Consider the following 19,346-nt stretch of genomic DNA (forward strand, 5'->3'; position numbering starts at 1 on the left):
AGGGAAACTGGCTTCCTGATTGACCCTGAGCAAGTGAACCAAATAATATACTTAGTACAAGCTCAGCTGCTGTCCCATTCCAAAGCTCCCTCCCCATTAAGCACATTGGTCTTCACTCAGAAAAGCTCACTGAAATTCTCCTCTCACTTGTATAAAACACAATTCTGTGCCTAAAACTATGGTTGATTGTGGTAAGTAATTTCTTTAAAACAAATTATTAAAATAAGCATATATAGAACTGATTACCACAGAGACTTAGTGAGTATTCTACACCAAGCTTACAGACACATCTTCACCTGAATGACCCAGATTGTAAACGTAGAATTCTGTTTTGTTCTGTTTCATTTAGCTTCCTCTGGAACATGCAGGCAGTGCTTAGGCCTCAGCCTCACAATCTTCTTGACTATAGATAGACAGGGCTGAATATTAGGCATAACTGAGCACCCGTATTCATTCATTTATGCATTGACTCATTTCCTTATTCAGTAACTGTCTGTTACATATCAGGCATTCTCTAGGAATTCACAATCTAATGGGAAAGAATCATACATAAATAGATAATTATAACACAGTGTGATTATCAGCGCAATGTACAGACAAACCCAGAGTATGAAGGAGGCAAAAAGTCGGGGTGCCCTAATTCCCTGACACTCCCAGAAGTTACACTTCCCCTGTAGCAGACTTCCATTATCATATTTGATATCCTGGATGAGTATTGAGAAGAGATGGTGTTTGAGCAGAGGAAAAGGAAACTGTAGAACAGAAGGCTTTGTTTACACTCCAGGTAAGGAAATGGAGGGTTAAAAAAAAGTAATCACACCAATGCAAAAAGAGGAGGAAGATAGTGAAGTATCAGGAATGCAGCTGGATGAATAATTGATGAGCTGGTAGCCTAAGAGAGCGTCTCATTAATATGATCCTGCAGGTTCATTAAGTACTATTCCAGGCTTGTCTTGGAGAGGGCCTCCTGAGTCTTGATTAGGGATTGTGTGGCTTTCGCTTCGACATCAGAACTTTGGGCTTTGGGTTCTGACAACTGCTTCCTAAGCTCCTATCCTTTTACCCCAGCACCTTTGGAAGCTCTTCTCCAACCCCCTCTCACTAATCATGGGCCCCTAACCATGACAGTCAGTCCTAGTAAATAATATATCAAGATAAATGATAATTGTTCTGTTTTAAGTGTCTCCTAATGAGCATCATAAATTAAAAATTAATATTGCAAAGACTATATGAATAGCATCAAATCCATAAACAAAGCAGCGGGTATCACGCTTGCAAATGAAAGCTAAACACCTCCCTTGTCCTCTTTTCCATTCCCCACCTCTATCTACCTTCCCCCACTTCCTTCTCCACCTCCCTCCTGGCACTCCAGACCTGGCGTCCAAGCCACCAGGAATTACATTGCAAATAACAGTACCTTTTTTTTTCCCCTCACAGATCATTTCTGGCCTGCTACTTACCTACCTGGTTTAGTGTGACTTGAAGACCCAATCCAGACAATTTATTTCTCATTATTTATTTTGCTTAGCCAGAGATAGACAAGGCAGAATCAGATTATGGAAAACTTTTAGTTGAGGCAGATGAACTAGGTCAGATCCCTTGGAAAGATTGAATATAGAATTTTAATGGCATCAAATAGTTCTGTCCTTCCATATTAGACAATTATATTTCAACCGAAGTCACATTTTGGAGAAGACTCTATACCAGAATCTTAGTAAGAGCTTTTTATTCTCTGTGTAGTAGTAGGATAGCTTTTTGGGGGTGTTTTCCTGGTTTTTCCAAATTGCTACAATTTTAACAATTATGATCATGAATAGCAAAAAGAAAGAAAACATCACTCAGAAGTGAAGAAAAGCGCTTGGTCAGACACAAAAGCCCAGTCACAAAGGTTAAAATAACCATCATTTTGTGAGCCTTTTTACAATGCACTAGACACCGTGAGGTGTGCATCATCTCCATCCCTCACAGCAGCACTGAAGGGTAGATGATATTATTCCCAGCATCCTATTGCTATCCAGAGGGAAAGGAGGCTTAGCCAACGGGCTGCAAACATTCCAATTCCTTTTCCTGAGATGGACGCATGAACTCTCTTGGCCCAAAGGCATTAAATATTCCACCCATGTAACCGATGCCCCTTCTTGGAATTCAGAGCTCACCCTGCAACCTGCTGGTTATCATTTGGCTTCTATCACAGGCTGCCAACGGTGAGAGTACACATGGGTCACGCTCATGTAAATATTCCAGACCATATGGCAGTTGTATTTCTCACTGTAAATGAACACATTGGCTTTGTTCTATAGAAAATCAATTTCGCAAAAACTTGAGTTCAGTTACTTTTGGACTGGAAGGATAAAAATTTCCTAAGCCTTCACTGATTGCTGAACCTTCTATACCAAGTCTACATGAGTTCCACATCCCTGAATGCTCTCTCTCAGTTGATTCGCTTGCTTTACTAATCCAAGGACTCAAACATTCACACAGCTGTATATGGAGAAAATATAAAAACAATTCACCTTTTTGGCAACTGAGCTACGTAACCAATAAAGGTGGTTTCACTTCAGGCCATTACCCAGATTAGTTTTACTAAACTTAGCTGGAATGCCATCCTGCGCCTTTGAGGAATGTGCACAATATGCTTTGGTACTGGCATTGCTACCACTGTAATTCTCTCACACAAATAGAGGCACTACAGTCGTAATATTATTCCAGTGAAAAACTGGACCTCTCTCTCCCTGGGATACCACAAAGCTAACAATGGCAAAGCCTCCCAAAACCAAAGTGCACAGAAGAAGACAGTGCTTAAGCTAATTAAATCTGCTGTGGAACCAGGAGAATTCCAAGAACAGCAGTAACACATTTTTATTTTATAAAAATGTCCCCATTGAAACAACAGATCTGAATGCAAATGTAAAACTAAGCATTCGATAATGCTCACTTTCACATCTGTCAACATTTTAGAGTAACTTCAAGAGGAATACATTTGTGGTTCTAGAAATTCTTAGTTTATGCATAGAATACATTTGAGAGGACTTTGTTTTCACAAGTATCCAGGTATCAAATAAAAAAATACCATGGAATCACACACTTTTGAAGCTGGAAGGGATCATGAGAGTCATGTATACCTGCCCCTCATTTAACAGGTGTGATGAAAGTTCAGAGAGGTTCAGTTATCGCTCAAGATTACTCACATGACTGGATTTCAGGAAATTTGAAGGCAAAAAATAAATTAGGGATAGATTTCCCTCTGTACCCTTAGCATTTAAATGGCAAATCTCTCAGTCTGAGATAGAGGGCTAACCCAGACCAAAATTCACTGGTCACCTGACCTTTCTGTATTTTTACAAACAAAATTAAATGGAGAATTGAAACATTTGCCCAAATTGCTTTGGTTAATTTACTGAGCTTTGTTTACCTTAAAAAAAAATGAAATAGAGTAGAATAAAAAGGGTGACACATCTTACAGTATTTGAATATTAATAAAATCATATTTGATGTTAAATTTACTGTTTTTATTCTTACGTGAGTATATTTCATGACACTTTTCATGTTTCAGTTATAACTATATGTGTGTATATATATGTATGTGTCTGTATGTATATATATTAGATATATGCTAAGTTATAATATATAACTTTTTCTTACCATGAATCACAGTAAAAAAGACCAAAATTCACTTCAGTGGAAATTTCACTTTTGCCCCACTCACCATCTTTAAAAACAAAAAACCAACAATGAAAATAAAATGTAAAATAGAAGCTTCTCATAACATTTTGGGGGAACCTTGCATTAAACTATCACTTTCTTGTCACTGCAGCCCAAAATGTTCTTTCTCCTTCAGGCCTAGTGCAATGTCCTATAGGTTACTAAAAAAGAAACATTAAACTTAAGAAACTAGAAAAAGGGCAAATGCACAAAAGATGAAAAAGGAAACAGATCTTCCTTTCGTTGTTTTAAGATACATGTTTTTTTCTTTCCTAATATCAAAGTTTGGGGTAAACAACAAATGTAATTTGCTCAGTTCCTAGGACAGTAGATGTACAATAATACGTGTTAAAGGAACACCAAAATAAGGGTAAAACAGCAGACTTTAGACTCTGCTACTAACCTGTACAAAACTTGGTGGAGTTTATAATTTCTCTGAGCTTCAACTTTCTCAACCGTAAAAGGTGATGACTGGGCAAGAGCTGCATTTCTTTCAGGGATCTTTGCAGAACTCTTTCCATGGGCTCTTAATAAATGACCCATGAAAATCATTTCTAAATGATAGGTTAATAGTGGGCCCTTCACCGATTTCTACCTTCTTATGTATTCATGATCATCCAATGAGTCCTAACTTTCCAGCTCAGAAATGGTGACCTCCAAAGAAAAAGAAAAAAAAAAAAAAAAAAAGGTCCAAAGAAGAAGAAAATGAAATCACTCTGGATTTCTTAAATAAAACATAAAAGTATATCCAACTGCATGGACCAGATACTAGTAAGCTTCTCAAACTAGGAAGCAATAGTTTGGGCTGTGAATTAAAGACTTATTTTTCATATGTCCTTTCTTTTATACATGTGATCTTTCACAAAAAAAGAGAGAGAAATAGAAGGTACTATTTGGTTCCAATAAGTACCTTGTCCAAAAGACAACACAGCAATGGGCACTGTGCACCATTTGCTCAGGAGTGGTTCTGTAGCATCAGGACCAAGTGGGAGGACTGGAATTAGCAGGAGCCCTACTCACCTACTTCTGTGACTTTGGGATGAAAGAGAATCCAAATGAGCCCCTGCTCTGTATGGAATTGTGACTACCATTATCTACAGCTACAACTCCAGAGTTAGAAAAGATAACCCTATCTGTGAAGATAACCCTTCTGTGAAGGTCCTGAATCTGGGTAGCTAGAGGGCACGGTGTATCTGGGGAAGCACAGCATATTCCATTAGGCACACCACTGTGACTCTAAGCTTCCATTTCCTTATGCAAAATGGGAATGAAACTAGAACCTACCTTATGAGTTGTGGAAAGAATTAAATATATGTGTAGGACTTGACCCATTATCTGATACATAGTAAGTGCTCAGTAAATGTGCCTGGTTTTATTATAGTATAACTGAATCCGGACTATGATTAAGAGAGCAAAGATAATGAAAATTTAAATGATATGTTAGTATAGATGCATTCTGCTGTGATGTGAATGCATTAGAAAGACACTGGGGAGGCATACACATTGAATTAGAAACGAGCACCACCTTCATGGTCCATTTTGTTCACTTTCCAAGCAAATGGCTTGGAAGAGTTGAAGGAATCTGGTCACCCCTAGATGATTAGCAAATCTTGTACTTAATGGGCAAAATGAGCAGCCAGGGATGCATCCATTTCTCAGGAGATAGGCTCTTGCCATACATTTCCATTCTTTGTTTAAAATTGCAACACATTTTGGACCAAAAATCTTTGGGCATTTTGCATCTATCCTGCCATCCTGAGATTTGTATATGCCAACAAACACCTTCTAGTTATCATTATGTAGCACTGATACTTTGCTCTGGGGTCTATAATCATCTTTATGTGGTCAAAGATGGCTTCAGTTTACCCTGGCAAAGCAGATGACGGCTGCTCTTTTATCTCAAGGAAGTGGAGACAGAACAGGGAGTTCTTGTCTCCCTTGTCCAAAGGGCACACAAGTAAGCAGAAGTGCCTGGGCTACCGGGACTCTGAAATGTGGCCATCAGCCAGGTGGCAGTGCTGGCCGGGTAATCACCCCACCCAGCACGCAAATCAGGGTAGCACTCACTTATTTTCCTGAGCTACTCTAGGCGGTGAGCACTAGCCTCAATGCTACCAGGTGTACGTACCGCAAAAATGGTTGACAGGCTGACAGGAAGTATATTTTGGGAGGAAAATAATAGTAAAGACTTAATTGAAGGATATCTGAAGAAAGCAAAAGAAATTACCCAACCCATCTGCAAATCACACGCTGGAAATGAATGGGTTCTTTAGTGTTTGGGACATTTTCGTGTTATAAAAATGTAGACTATAGAGCTATTATATCAAGTAATTTATGGGATGAATATTGTAATTCATTGAATGTCATGACTTATCTTTTATTCATATAGTTACTATTCCATTACCAGAGAGGGAGGTTTGTCAAAGGTTAATTATTTTAAATTGCTCTGGCAAATTTATTTTGATTTGTACAATTTTTTTGAATAATCATAGGTCTATATATTCATACATCTTTATGAGGCTTCTTTTTTAAAAATAATATTCTTTGATGAGGCAGTTAAAGCTAGATAAATGCTTTAGTGATGTCTTTAAAATATATTCCCTTTAACTCTGGATGTAGATCTACAAAAAATATTATATTATTATTGTTATTGGTATGATGTCTATTTTAGAACTTTCTATTTTTCCTAGGAAAATTGCAATTAAAAATGGCCAGGAATATGAAATTTTAATTTCTTAAGGGGTTGCCCATGGTTCATAGTACCTTTGAGCTCTGAATCACTATTTGGAATCCCCTCTAAACGGTGAGTGGGAAAGCTGTTGACACCTGCTGTGGGCTGTACCTCACCTCTGTTTCACATGAGGCTACTCCTTGGCCAGGGATACCTTCTCAGGACATGAGATTTGGTCCTTGAGGGAGAATAAATGCTGGACTACAAGGCAAATACCTTCCAAGTTAAAAAAATAATTATGAATCATAAATCTAAATTTAAAATAGAGCCACAAGTGAGGAATTAGGAAGACTACAGTACATACAATATATACAATAGAATACACAGATTAATCCAAGTCCCACCTCCTTCAAAATGAATAGGCTCTCCCATGAAGCCTTCCTAATTAACTCTGCTTTTCTTCTTTATATGTCTCAAATACTTATGTATCATGTCTATATTTCATTAATATGGTTTCATTGTTATGTAGCTTTTTAATTATTCATAAATCATTTGAAAGTTAGGTATAGTAGAGTCAGAAGACCTAGGCTCACAGTTAAGTCCTGAGGTTTATTGTTTGTACAGGCTTAGATACATTGTTTGATTCGTCTGCGATTCAGTTTATTTTATGTGAAAGAGGAATAAGAAGCCCCACCTATGTTCTTCATGCAGTTGGCAATATGTCACCTAATAATTGCGCACTTCTCTAGGTTCATAAAATTCTTGCGTATCTATCTCGTTTAATCCCTCAAACAATAGTATATAAGATGAGCACTATTACCCATCCATATTTATGAACATAGGTATTAGATGAATAATGTGGAAATGTTATTTTTAACATCATAAGTTATTGTTATTTTTAGCCTGTAGATTTTATATCATCAATTTAAAATTAACACCCCTGAGGCTACAGGCCATCTCTTTCCTTTTTTTATATATATAATTCTCTCCTTATGCTCTTTTCCTTTAGGTGGTTTGGTGAATAGATTCAGAAGATAGATTTTTCTAGGATAGATAACAAAGTGCTTTGCAAAATAAATGCTCAGTAGGGTGGTGTCTATACATTGCCATAGTAACTGATTAATTTTATTTGGTGTCAGGAAGAAAATAATAATCAATTATTTAATCAAACTTTTTACTTTTAACCAGTTGTAATGGTCTTATGCACGTGGTAAAAATGTCCCTGAATAGCACAGCAAGCCTCAAGGCATACAAATAAAATACATATATGTACTCTATCATGCTGTTACTAAGAAAAAAGCCACGGTATACGATTCTGAAAAGCATGAGTAAAGGCTTCAGGTACAGAGGCAGTGAGATGTTCCCTATTTACCCTACCAGAAGGAAAGATCCATCAGAAAAGAGCCCTTGTCTGTCTTGTTCACACTTACTATTTTCAGAACCTGTCACACAGTTGGTGCTCAATAAATACTAAGTATAAAATATCTCATTATATTCATATCACTCAGATCCTTAAAACACTATGAAGCTTTGCAGTTAAAAAAGAACTTGGAGTTTTGAAGTGGATTGAGAAGAGAGAAACAGTGTTGGAGATAGGACCCATGAGTAAAAGTTAAGGAAACAAATTTATTACTCAAAAGGCATAAATTAAAGGGAGACTGCAAATGTCAGATAGCATCCTATGTGATGTCTATAATGAAGCAGATGTTGGCAGGGGAGTGACTCCTCAACTCTGCTGCAAATAGATGCAAAGGAAATGTGTTCACCTTGCCATACAAAAGACATGCATTAGGTAAAAGTAAATAAATATACATGTAAACACATACATACATAAAATACATCCCCATTGAGAAGTGGTGGAAAGTGAACAGGAAAATTACAGAATTAGCTCTCAGTGATCAAGTTTTTGCCCAATAATGTGTCAGGCACAGACTCTAAGTACTTGACTTACACTGTCTCACTAAACAAATTCTCTATAGTAGATATTATCATGATGAAGAAACTGAGACTATGAGCAATTAAATAACTTGCCCAAAGTCATATGCTAGTGGTCAGCAGAGTCTGGAATGAGTGTCCATCTCCACCTTCTGGGTTAAAGTCATTTAAGATACCTGCCACCTGCAACCTCAACATCCACCAGCTCTAAAGTTTTTTTTCCATGGACCCTGGAGGACCGTACAACTATTTTTGCTTAACAGACTTCATGAAAGTGGAAACTGATTGATGGCTATGATAATGCAAAACATTTACTAATGTGGCCTACAGAATTATTTGTTTAAACTTATACATATATGTTATACCTATGCAAATATTTTACTCTTAATAAGTCTTTTTACCCAGATTTCACAGTAAAACTAGGGTCCCATGAGATAGAGTCCCTGAATCAGCAAGTAGAGAGATTTCATCTTCAATATAGTATACTTGGCCCTAAATATTTTAATTTTCCTGTCATCTTGCTATATATCAATAAAGGGATCTTTCAATTGAAGTATTCTGTATAGCTGTGTAAACTCAATCAATTAGCCACATAGTGGTCATGTGTCCACTTCCTTTTGAATCGTAGAATCCACTGTCTAAGGTGAGATTTTGGTAGGAGGACACACTGGACCCTGGTGTGAGCTGCACTGGCAGAAATGTCACTGTAAGATCCCAAGGTATTATTATAAATTGTCAATATGGCAGAATTAAAGGCAGCCCTCCTCAAGAATACCACTGCAACACTGAGCCCACCCTTATCCCATTCTACTGTACACCACCAGAGAACATCACTCCGAATCCAGTGTCTTTTACCAGAGACAATCTGATTCCTATAGATTGGGATATTTCTATTTTTAATTCTCCTTAACAGAGAACTCTAAGTCCAGAATCTTCTGCAAAGGCCTGTGAAGTGCTATTCTGATCATCCCTTCATGTTCCTGAGTTGCTCTGGGATAATGTTGTCGGGGGAAGACCCCCAGGGGAACAGCTGATTGGATTCTGGCAAGATGGACCAAACATCTGCTTCAAACAAAAGACATCTGCATATTTCACATTTATTTTTCATAATTTACAGAAGCAACCTGCCAAAATTCAGCAAGGGAGAATACACTAGCACATAATTAGCTTAAAGTTTGCTTGCTTTAGAAGTATGAGCATGAAGCCCAGGAGCTCACCTGGGAGGACATCAAGGAATGGCGGAACTGAGGTTTGATTTCTGTGAATTTTGTTTTAGACCTCATATGCCAGGGCAGAAGACCTGGCCCTGCTAGGCTTGGAAGGGAGAAGCAAATATGCCAGAGATGACACGAGGAGGTTCTTTCGCCCTCGTGTCAAATAAAAAGCCTCCACACCAAAAGAGTGGTCAAAGATAATATCATTTATTAAATAAGATCTGATTAATCAGAAAGATTTTGCTTCAACCACTTAGCACTACAGTTCACAGGTTAGAAAATGATGCAATGCTACATGGCGCTTAATTTAAAATGTATATACCGAGAGTACCAATGGCATGGTGAGAAATTATGTGTGGGTGTTTCATTATTGTTCAAATCATCAGAAAGCTGTTATTTGTCAAAAAAATACTAGGAAATATATTGGTTGCCTAGATGCTAGTATATTTGGAATACATGATGAAAACATAAAGAGAACAAGATAATGGACTATATTATCAGTCTTAATATATCCTGCTATCATGAATACAACTATTTTCCCCCTATAAACTACATCATCCCAGTTGAAATTCAAACTTGGCAAGGTCATAATTACATGAAATAACTAAAGCTTGCTTAGAGAATAAAAAGATTTGGGGGGGGGGGTGGGTTCTTTTTGTTTCTAACAAAGGAATTTCAACTCTATGTCCAGTATTTTTTTTTTTTAAAGTAGCTATGAGGTCCTGTGGGATTTTCCCTGATCTTAACTCCAGGGAGAAAGCATATTTATAGTTAAAGCAAAGATTTGCAAAATATTAGGCGCTGTTTTGAAATGTTTGAAACATCAGGCCCCTGGTGGGAGGAGTGCTATTTTGATTTTGCTGACTGTCTCTGATCTTCCAGTCTCGGTCATTGCTTTACAAAAGCAATTGTGTTCCTGATTTACTTGTAGACACAATGCTGACCCTATAAAAATCTCTGCAATACTACCACGGCAGTTCCAAAGGATTTAGCATCTTAAATTATGCGTACATTGTCGAAGCAACATATGCAACCCAGGCACCGTGATCCAAACACACAGTGCAGTCAGATCATTTATCTTCTTGATAATTTCCCCTGAAAATTATTTCTGAAGCACCTCCTAGAAGCATCACAAGGACTCTCCTGTGAGGAGTAGCCTGGAACCCAAATGTCCTTTGTGGTTACTGCTCTTGTGGGGAAGTGGCAGGCTCAGGGTAGCTCTGACTCTGGCCAACATGGTTGTATTTTTCTATGGGCTCTTGATTTTTAAGAAATAAAAATCAGCTTTAGTTACAGAGAAATTATGACACTAAATAGAAAAATAACGAATTGCTGGATCATAAACAGATATTTTCTACCTCCCAAAATAAGCCTTTGGTCTTGGTGGGTGATTAGCAACACAAAAATACATTGGCATTATTCCAGGAAGGAATATCACTGAAGAAAAGAAGAATCAGAAAGATATACATTCTGTGTATAGCTGGTCCATCCTTACATTGGATAATCCCCATGAGTGACAGTGACCTATATTTGTGTTGCAGGCCCATCTCAGCTTGTAGAAGGGATCTAAATTTCTACCCAGGGAAATTATTTTGAGTAGCCAGGATCTACTTGTCTTATCTCCAACAAATTGTCAACATCATGTATGCCTATCCTTCTCCCATAGGGTAGTGTGGCCAACATATTTTTGAATGTGCCTTCATGTTCAGCATTTGAGTTTAACAATCCCCTCACAGCTTTTTGCATGGACTTTTTAGCTTCTCCACCCAAAGAGTAGATTAAAATCTCCAGTTGGAGCAGATGTGAGATCCAACCTGGTTGAAGCATTATCTCTGAATAGCTTCTAGAACATCTTCTTTTCTGATTTGTAAAAACTACAGGAATAATATATATGTTTCTCAATTTGTTTTTCTAATAGGTCTGTGATCAAATTTTGTTCCACACCCAATATCAGACAACATGTGCACATCTTGGACAAGACTATTGGGGTCTGTGAGGGGAAATCCCTGCCAGAGCCCCTCATTATCATATTTTTATTTCATTCCTAAGGTAATAAGCAAAAAAAGATTCCACCACTTCTTAGCCTCTACATTCTCCTGGATAATTTTATATCTTTGTTAGAAATATAAAATGCAGCTGTAGGAGTCTTTACAAGTCTAAAGAAAAGAGCTAATAATAGTATATTTTTATGGCCCACAATTTATCCTGCTGAAAAAGGGCAGTTACATTCTTAGAGTTGATTATTGCTACATCTTAAATTTTCTAATTGTTTTAGATTTTTCACTTATTTTAGACACTTTCACTTTGCCCCCTAGAGTAAATTAAGATGAAAGGTAAATTAAAAGAGAGGAATTCAACATGAAGAGAATAAATAAACAAAACACAGATTGCAAAGCAGGAATGAAAACAAGGTCTCTGAGATCAATCTGTTAAAGGAATGCTACAAATGTGAAGTGTTTACTATTTTAAAACATTAATCATGTACTCACCCTGTTTATTTAGCTATCAATATTTTTCCTGTAACTCTGACTTGAAAATGTGTAAGCTGTTTAGAATTAGGACTCACACTGAAGACAAATGATATTTTGATTATTTATATTGCCTAGCTTGTCTTAAAACTTCAGAGTTGTAGACTTTTCATTTCAATTTACACCTTTTTTAAAAGTCGTTATTATTTTGTATAATGTGACATCTCAAGTAACTTTTATTGCCACCCACTACCATACGCCCAAGCCACAGGCATTAAAGATAGGGAGCCCAAGGCCTCCATCAATAGGACTATTCAGAAGATGGCTAACATCTTGCTTTTACCTAGAATGCATGCCTCAATCCCAAAACATGCCATTGTAGGACTGGCCTGGTTATCAGAATTAGCAGTTCCAAAGGGCTGAGAGTTTCCCAAGTTCCTGGGAGTATTTTCTAGGCAGAGATAAATTATTTTTAATAAAAACTCATAATTTGGATATGATAATGAAATAGCCACCAAAGCTACTATATACTCAACATGAGCAGGAGACTCTCATCTGATCTCACAAAATTAAATGTCTTGTGAAAAAGAGAAACAGTTCACATAAGGTTGATTTACCATTTCTACCCATTGAGAAAGACAGGAAAGCATTAGAATTTTCTCCTGGAACAAGGATAGGGAAAAATTCCCCCTCATTGGAGCACCTAAACAATGGCATAGATAAGATCCCCCAAAATTGTATATTTCTCTTGAAAATTATTATTGCTGCTACAAATTTACCCATACAATATTCAAGTGTGCTAGAAAATGGTGGTATCTTTATTTTCTATGGCCGACCTAAAATTCCTCAAGTACCTCCATCCCATTTCTTCTCATTTTAACAGTTTAGCCTCCAGTGAAAGCTGTTTCTTTCCCCATCCATCATTTTCCCTGATTGGTGTGGGGGTATAGGCCCTCATGGTGGGTATCACTCTAGCTTTTGGAGTGCCATCTGCTTCAGGGTCTCACATGGTGTTTGGGTGCTGGCTGAATCTACATGTTTCACATTCAATATCCTGGGAACACCCAGCCTCTTGTGTTGGCAAGCCAGCCCATGCCTTGCCTGGCACTCTGCTTCAGCCTGTTTTAGAAAGCTCAGAAGCCTAGTTCCTACCTCTGACCTTTCTTTCCACAGTCCCTGAGAACCAGAAGAGCTGTCTTTTATTTCCCCTCTTGGTCAGGCCATGGGGACTTCCTCCTGCTCTATGTCGTCATCCTCCCAAGAGTGATATTTGCCTTCTGCCTTTATATATGCCATTGAGGGCAAGGTTGCTGTTGGGAAGGGATAACAAATGAAATCTTCATGAGTTTCACAGTTTCCAATTTACATACCCTTAGAGTTATGCAGAGGGCCCACTGTGGGCACAGTGGTTCCTAGGTGCTCCCAGTTTCTTCTCTCTGGGTCCTTTACCACCTTCCATCTTTCCATGGTAACTCCAACATTGCCCTCTGGGTTCCCAGTGTCCTCCCAAGATGCTCACCTCCTTCAAATTAAACATTTCTGGAAAACTGGCTCGTACATCCTCAATGTCTGACATGACTGTAGGTATCACTCTACTGGGGGAGTTACAAAGGACTAACACTTGAGCCAAAGCAATGAATCATCAAGGGTGTCATTTTGAGCGTTACTGGTTGAAGAAGAGCATAGGGGCAGAAAAGGAGTTTTCCAGATTCCACTGGAACAATATCTTGTGGATAAGATGGCCTCCTGAGGTTTCCCTATTTATATGTTCTACCAGAGATGTATGCATATGCACATGGATTGCATCTACATAAACACACATAGACAATTTAAATTGAAATATCAAGACATGTCAGCATGAGATTAACAACCATAAGAGAACCCTGAAAACTAATAAATATTCTGTAAATATTTAGTGCTAATATGCGTCCACTTAGTTGACACAGACCTTCTTAAATAAAGTAATAATAAAGAATTACAGAAAAAAATAAATAATTACAGAAATGACATAAACTAGCCCAAGCATATCTCAAATAACTGTGTTGGTTCCAGAGTCACCTAAAGAGCCAGACTTTAACAAAGTGTTTTTATCTAGTGAGAGAAATGACCACAGGCATCTTGCTATGACCAGTCATTAAAAACAATGTCAATTGTCCTTTTCCTAAAGGATGTAATTTCATGCAAACCTAAATGTGTTAACAAAAGCTGAGTCTTCTATTTTGTTGTTTTTATTTTACATTTATAGGCTATAGGAGTCTTGAATTAGTGGGTTTTTTTAGTTACTAAAACGATAATAATTTTTAGTATTTCTAATACTCAATAATTCTTAAAGAATATGTGGTGCTTATTTTTATTTCACAATTTCCCTGGAATTTCTGACAAGATAAAACTTTCTGCAGGATTTGGTGGATGTGTTTCTCCTTGGCTTGGCAGCTCTGTTGATGCCTCGCATGATAACATTTTGAGGTTTTGAGGAAGGAATCTAGATTTGCCCAGGTGTATCTTGATGGGCTTTGTGTCTGGATGTGTTCAGACAAACTTCAATGACATTTCCATCAATTTCTTACTTCCTGGAAGGATCAACCATCTTTCAAAATTCAATTAGAAACTTCAGTCAAATTCCTTGCCTTTGTTGCCAAAATTGTCACGAATACCCATCAGAGAGTGCTGACAACCACGCTGTTCTAAAGTGAAAATGTCTACAGCCTTGGTTTTGGTTGGCTTTACTAAATAGATTTTTCTCCTTTAGGAAGGATCATTATCACATCACTACTCCTGTTTCCCTCCTTTACAGCCCAAAGCATGCCTTTGTGTTATGTCCCCAGCATTCCACAGGGTGGGTGGGTACACATCTTGACGCACAAGCATGCCACCATGTTTTGGGTACATCTGTGTCCATGTTTTCAAGACCCTCCTCAGGCAATAGGGGACCTACGCCTCACATAACTCACATAAAGAAAAATGCAAATGTAGGAACCCACCTCCCCCATTAAAGAGCAGCATCCTCTTCCAAGGAAGGCTGCTTGCCAAAGAAATAGTTCATATTTTCTTGAGTTTAATTCAGGTTGTCATTCAATGATCTTTTTAAATTAAATTTTATATGATAATAGTAGCTACTCTAATTGAGGAACCTACTGAGTGTTTGATTCCTCTGTTTTGTATCTTAGGTAAATGATCTCCAAATTTCAATAATTCTTTGATGTTATTTGTTATTATTTATTTTAGTAATTTTTAAGTTTTGAAATAAATTAATAGTAAAATAAATTGTTTTAATTTTTTAATTGTATTATTTATTTATTATTTGGGGGCATTCTCCATTTGTGAATAAACATAGCCTCAGAGAAGTAAAGGAATTGGTCCAAGGTCATGCAACCAGTAATGGTGCAGAGTAGGATTGCAAACCCAGGATTTCTGAGTCCCTGCCCAGTGTTAGATTTTATATTGAACAACTTGGGGTACCATCTTCTATGCTCCCAGCCCACCTTGTACCCCAGTCACAGCAGTGGCAGCCAGTCTTGCACAGGGAGAGCCTGCAGTGCCTCCTGCAGCCATATGGCATAGAGAGGTCCGCTGACACAGTGACAGGGGCCTGGCATTCACACATGGGAAGTCACAAGTGTTGGGAGTTCATTCTGTCACCACAAGAAGCTGATCGATAAAGGCTTTCTCCTCCCATTCTCTGGGACAATTCTGGAGTCTGTCTGACAACTCCTTAGAAAGTGCCAGTGGGATCAAGCTCATTACTCATATTGACAGCTGGCTCAAAAATGCACCCTTGAATTGTTTCTGTCTTGCAGTCTTATCTCTTATTTCCTAGAACAACTTCTGAAAGAGAAAAAAGTCTTTGTCTCAGTTTCTGCTCTCCAGAGGTAACCCAAAGGTAAAGTAAGTATACCACGTCACACTCTAAAAGTGGCAGCAGAATATATCAAATGGGGAATGGTTCATTTTGCTTTGAGAAAATTCTTTAATGGGGCTCTTTGGGTTTTCAAAGGCAAGACTTAGACTCTAAACTAGAAGAAAAACCATCAGCTATGGGAAGTATGCAGCAATGTAAAATATAAGTGTTTTGTACAGGCAGAGATTTTAAGAGATGTTATTCTGATATTAACTAAGTAAAATGGTCTCCAAACTTCAACAGTCCTCTGATATTACTTATTTTATGGCCATTCTAAGGCCAGGCCTTGGGAAGGAGCTAAGTGTATAGATAGCAAAGAAAGAAGTAAGGAAAGGAGCCTCTGGCATGGGTGAGGGCATGGGCCCCAGAAAATCACAGGAGACCTAGGTCTAAGGGGGAAATTGGCCAGAGGGCTCACCTGGGATAGAGCAGGACCAATAGACTTCATGACCAGCGCTTGCTCTAGAGCTATGTGTGTTGCACAGCTTTTGTGATCTCTGCAAGCTTCAGTAAAGCTGCTTAACCATGGAAACCTAACGTGACTCCTGTGACAACCTGGGGAATAGAAGAAGAGTCTGTGTCTGTGCTTGGGGAAGAAGGAGGAGCCATAGCCTATAGAAGTGCTGCCTGGAAGGCCAGTGGCAACAATAGAGCAGTTTGGGGGTAGTACAGCCTGGGAAGAGACTGGACAGACAATGAATGGAACATCTAAGCACCTACCAGGAATCCACAAAACAATCCAGTGGCAGGGTTTCCTATAGTTACATAGGAAATAGATTTGAGCAGTTCTATTTAAACACTCAAGATAGAAATAGGAGAACTTGAGAACATTTTGCTAACACAAATATGGAGTTAAAGAAATGGGCAGGGAGTATGTTATTTGTACATTTCATATACAGCCCTGAATATTCCTAAAATATTTGTTAGGTGTCCACTATATGTCAGATACTATTCTAGGCACTGGGGGGAAAAGCAGTGAATAAAACAGAAAAAAATAAAAAAAAATTCTAGGGAAGGGAGACAGAAAAAAACATACTAAAAACATAGAGCCCGTTGGACATAAAACAGGGGAGGGAGCTAGGAGTGCTGAGGAAACAGAGCAATTGGAAATGTTGACACTATTTCTATCTTCCTTGAGAAAGAGCAAGTTTTGCGGACTTAACCTGTTTTATGCATCCAGAGTGTTATTAGTTATTGAAATAAATTTGGGATAATTACTCAAATCATTTTCTCTTTTCTATGGCAGAGGTAAGGAACCCAGTGAGAAAGACAGAGAGAAGTATGGACAAGAAACAGATCCTAAACCTGTTTTGTTTTATTTTTGGTAGTAGTTGTTTATTTTTGAAAACATTCAAACCACCTGTATTGGTGGCTGTTATTATGAAATAAATAAACTGAGAAACAACAAGACAATTTGGCCTCTACAATTTGTTTAGTTTTGACTAAGTATTTGCCTTGGAAGAAGTATGTGTACAATACTCATTTTTAAAAGATGCAACAGTCACCTCGTTACTTGGAGTTTTACTTGAGACTTGAATGGACTGAAACCACCTGGTCACCACTAGAAGCTACATCAAGGAAAAGAAAGGTAGGTCCATTCTGTCCTTGACATTTCATTTTAGCTTAGTCACTTTGTATTGAGGCTTTGCCACCTCCCCAGGAGGCTGGAGATTTTCTATTGCCTAACACTGGAAAATAGGTTTATGAGATATATTAGAAAATGTTTATGATGCCTTATAAGCTTGCCCGTTTGAGTTATTTGCTCTGTTCTGTTGTACCATCCCCATCCAGTGTCCTTGGCTATTTCTCAGGAGCTGTAGCCCATCTCACCTTCCACCTTTAGCTGGTATAGATTTCATTCATTGAAAAAGATGTTAGTGCCCCGTAATGAAGTAATAGATTAAGGCAGCCTTCATGCATTGCTGCCAAAATCATTAGGTGAAAGGTTGATGGGAGATTTTATGATGGGTGGTGATATGGTTTCACTTCATCCCTGCCCAAATCTCATCTTGAATTGTAGTTCCCATATCCCTGCATGGGAGGGATTAGGTGGAGATAATTGAATCATGGGAGCAGTTTCCCCCATCCTGCTCTCATGATAGTGAGTCAGTTCTCATGAAATCTGATGGTTTTATAAGGGGCTTCCCCCTTCTCTGGGCACTCATTCTCCTGCCACCCTATGAAGAAGTGCTTTCTGCCATGATTATAAGTTTCCTGAGGCCTTCCCAGCCATGTGGAACTGTGAGTCAACTAAACCTCTTTTCTTTATAAATTACCCAGTCTTGGGAATTCCTTCATAGCAATGTGAGAATGGACTAATACAGGTGACTAATACTGGGAAGCTACACACTGATTAACCCAATATTACGTGCTTTGGATATTATGCAATAGGAAGGACACAGCACCTCTAATGGAGTCTTATTGACTATAAATTTGAATCATAATCTAATCAAGTCTCTAGATCTAACTAGTGTGCAAGAAATACAGGAAATAGAGAAACAAGTTAAACCATTCTATGAGGTAGTGATTAACTAAATGCATTCCTCAGAATAAAAATAACAGAGTAGTCAAGTTAAATGTGGAGGAGGAAGGCACTTATAGAATAAAAGAAAATTCAGAGAAATAATAATCAAATGCAATCATGTCATATGATTCATAGAGTTAAGCAAAACTGGACATTTTAGTCATCGAAGTGGCCACAAATCTGTATGTCCAGGCAACATTTCTTATCATAGTTTCTCTCCAGAAGACATGTCATATCTAGTTCTATTTAGAATTCTGCTTCCTCTCCTTTTATGATCTCTTAGCTAAAATCCTGACTGTCATTGGGTGATGACTGAATCTTTGTTATTAAAACACCTCTTGTGACTAATAAAATAAGCATGGGCAATAGCATACTTCAATGCTTCAATCTTGGAGAAAATGCTGTAGAACTGGCTTGCTAACACAGTTTCCAAGGAAATTAAAAAATGCCTCATAGTATTTTCAAAACTTGGCAACCAAATAAGGGCTTTGAAGATTTTAACACACCACGTCCACACCCACACTATGACTCATTTCAGCCCCCATGTCCAGAGACCCAGCTTTTGGTTGGCATCTGAAACTTGACTTATCACCAAACCGCATGCCCAAGAGTGTACATGTTAGAGATTAGTATTAAATAATTAGCAATCGGACCTTGAGTAGTGCCATTTTGTCTTTCTGCATATGGATTTGATCACTCTCTACCCAAACCCAAGAAACTTGATATTTCATACAAATTATACTCGGAGCATAGCTGCATTCAGCCCACAATTTCTAAGTTGCCTGAGACAGAAATGTATCAGCAAAGAGTCTAATGCATAGCTTAAAATGATTGATTCAAGACTAAATCAGCAACGCTAATTTCTTGCAATGCTAGTTACATATGGTTGCATTAATATTCTCTTCTCAGAAATCCAGCTGAGAATCATTATTTA

General features: G+C 38.0%; 1 long non-coding RNA gene across 1 annotated transcript in view; it reads left to right on the plus strand.

Moving 5' to 3' along the window:
- LINC01828 (long intergenic non-protein coding RNA 1828) overlaps window positions 1-17,296 on the plus strand; it is a 202,799-nt gene extending 185,503 nt beyond the window's left edge. The window contains exons 4-5 of the long non-coding RNA NR_110564.1: window positions 15,808-15,870; window positions 17,135-17,296. This is a non-coding gene — a long non-coding RNA (long intergenic non-protein coding RNA 1828). The remainder of the gene's footprint in view (window positions 1-15,807; window positions 15,871-17,134) is intronic.
- Window positions 17,297-19,346: the final 2,050 nt, after the last annotated feature.

Source organism: Homo sapiens, chromosome 2 (assembly GCF_000001405.40).
Source record: "Homo sapiens chromosome 2, GRCh38.p14 Primary Assembly".
NCBI lineage: Eukaryota > Metazoa > Chordata > Mammalia > Primates > Hominidae > Homo > Homo sapiens.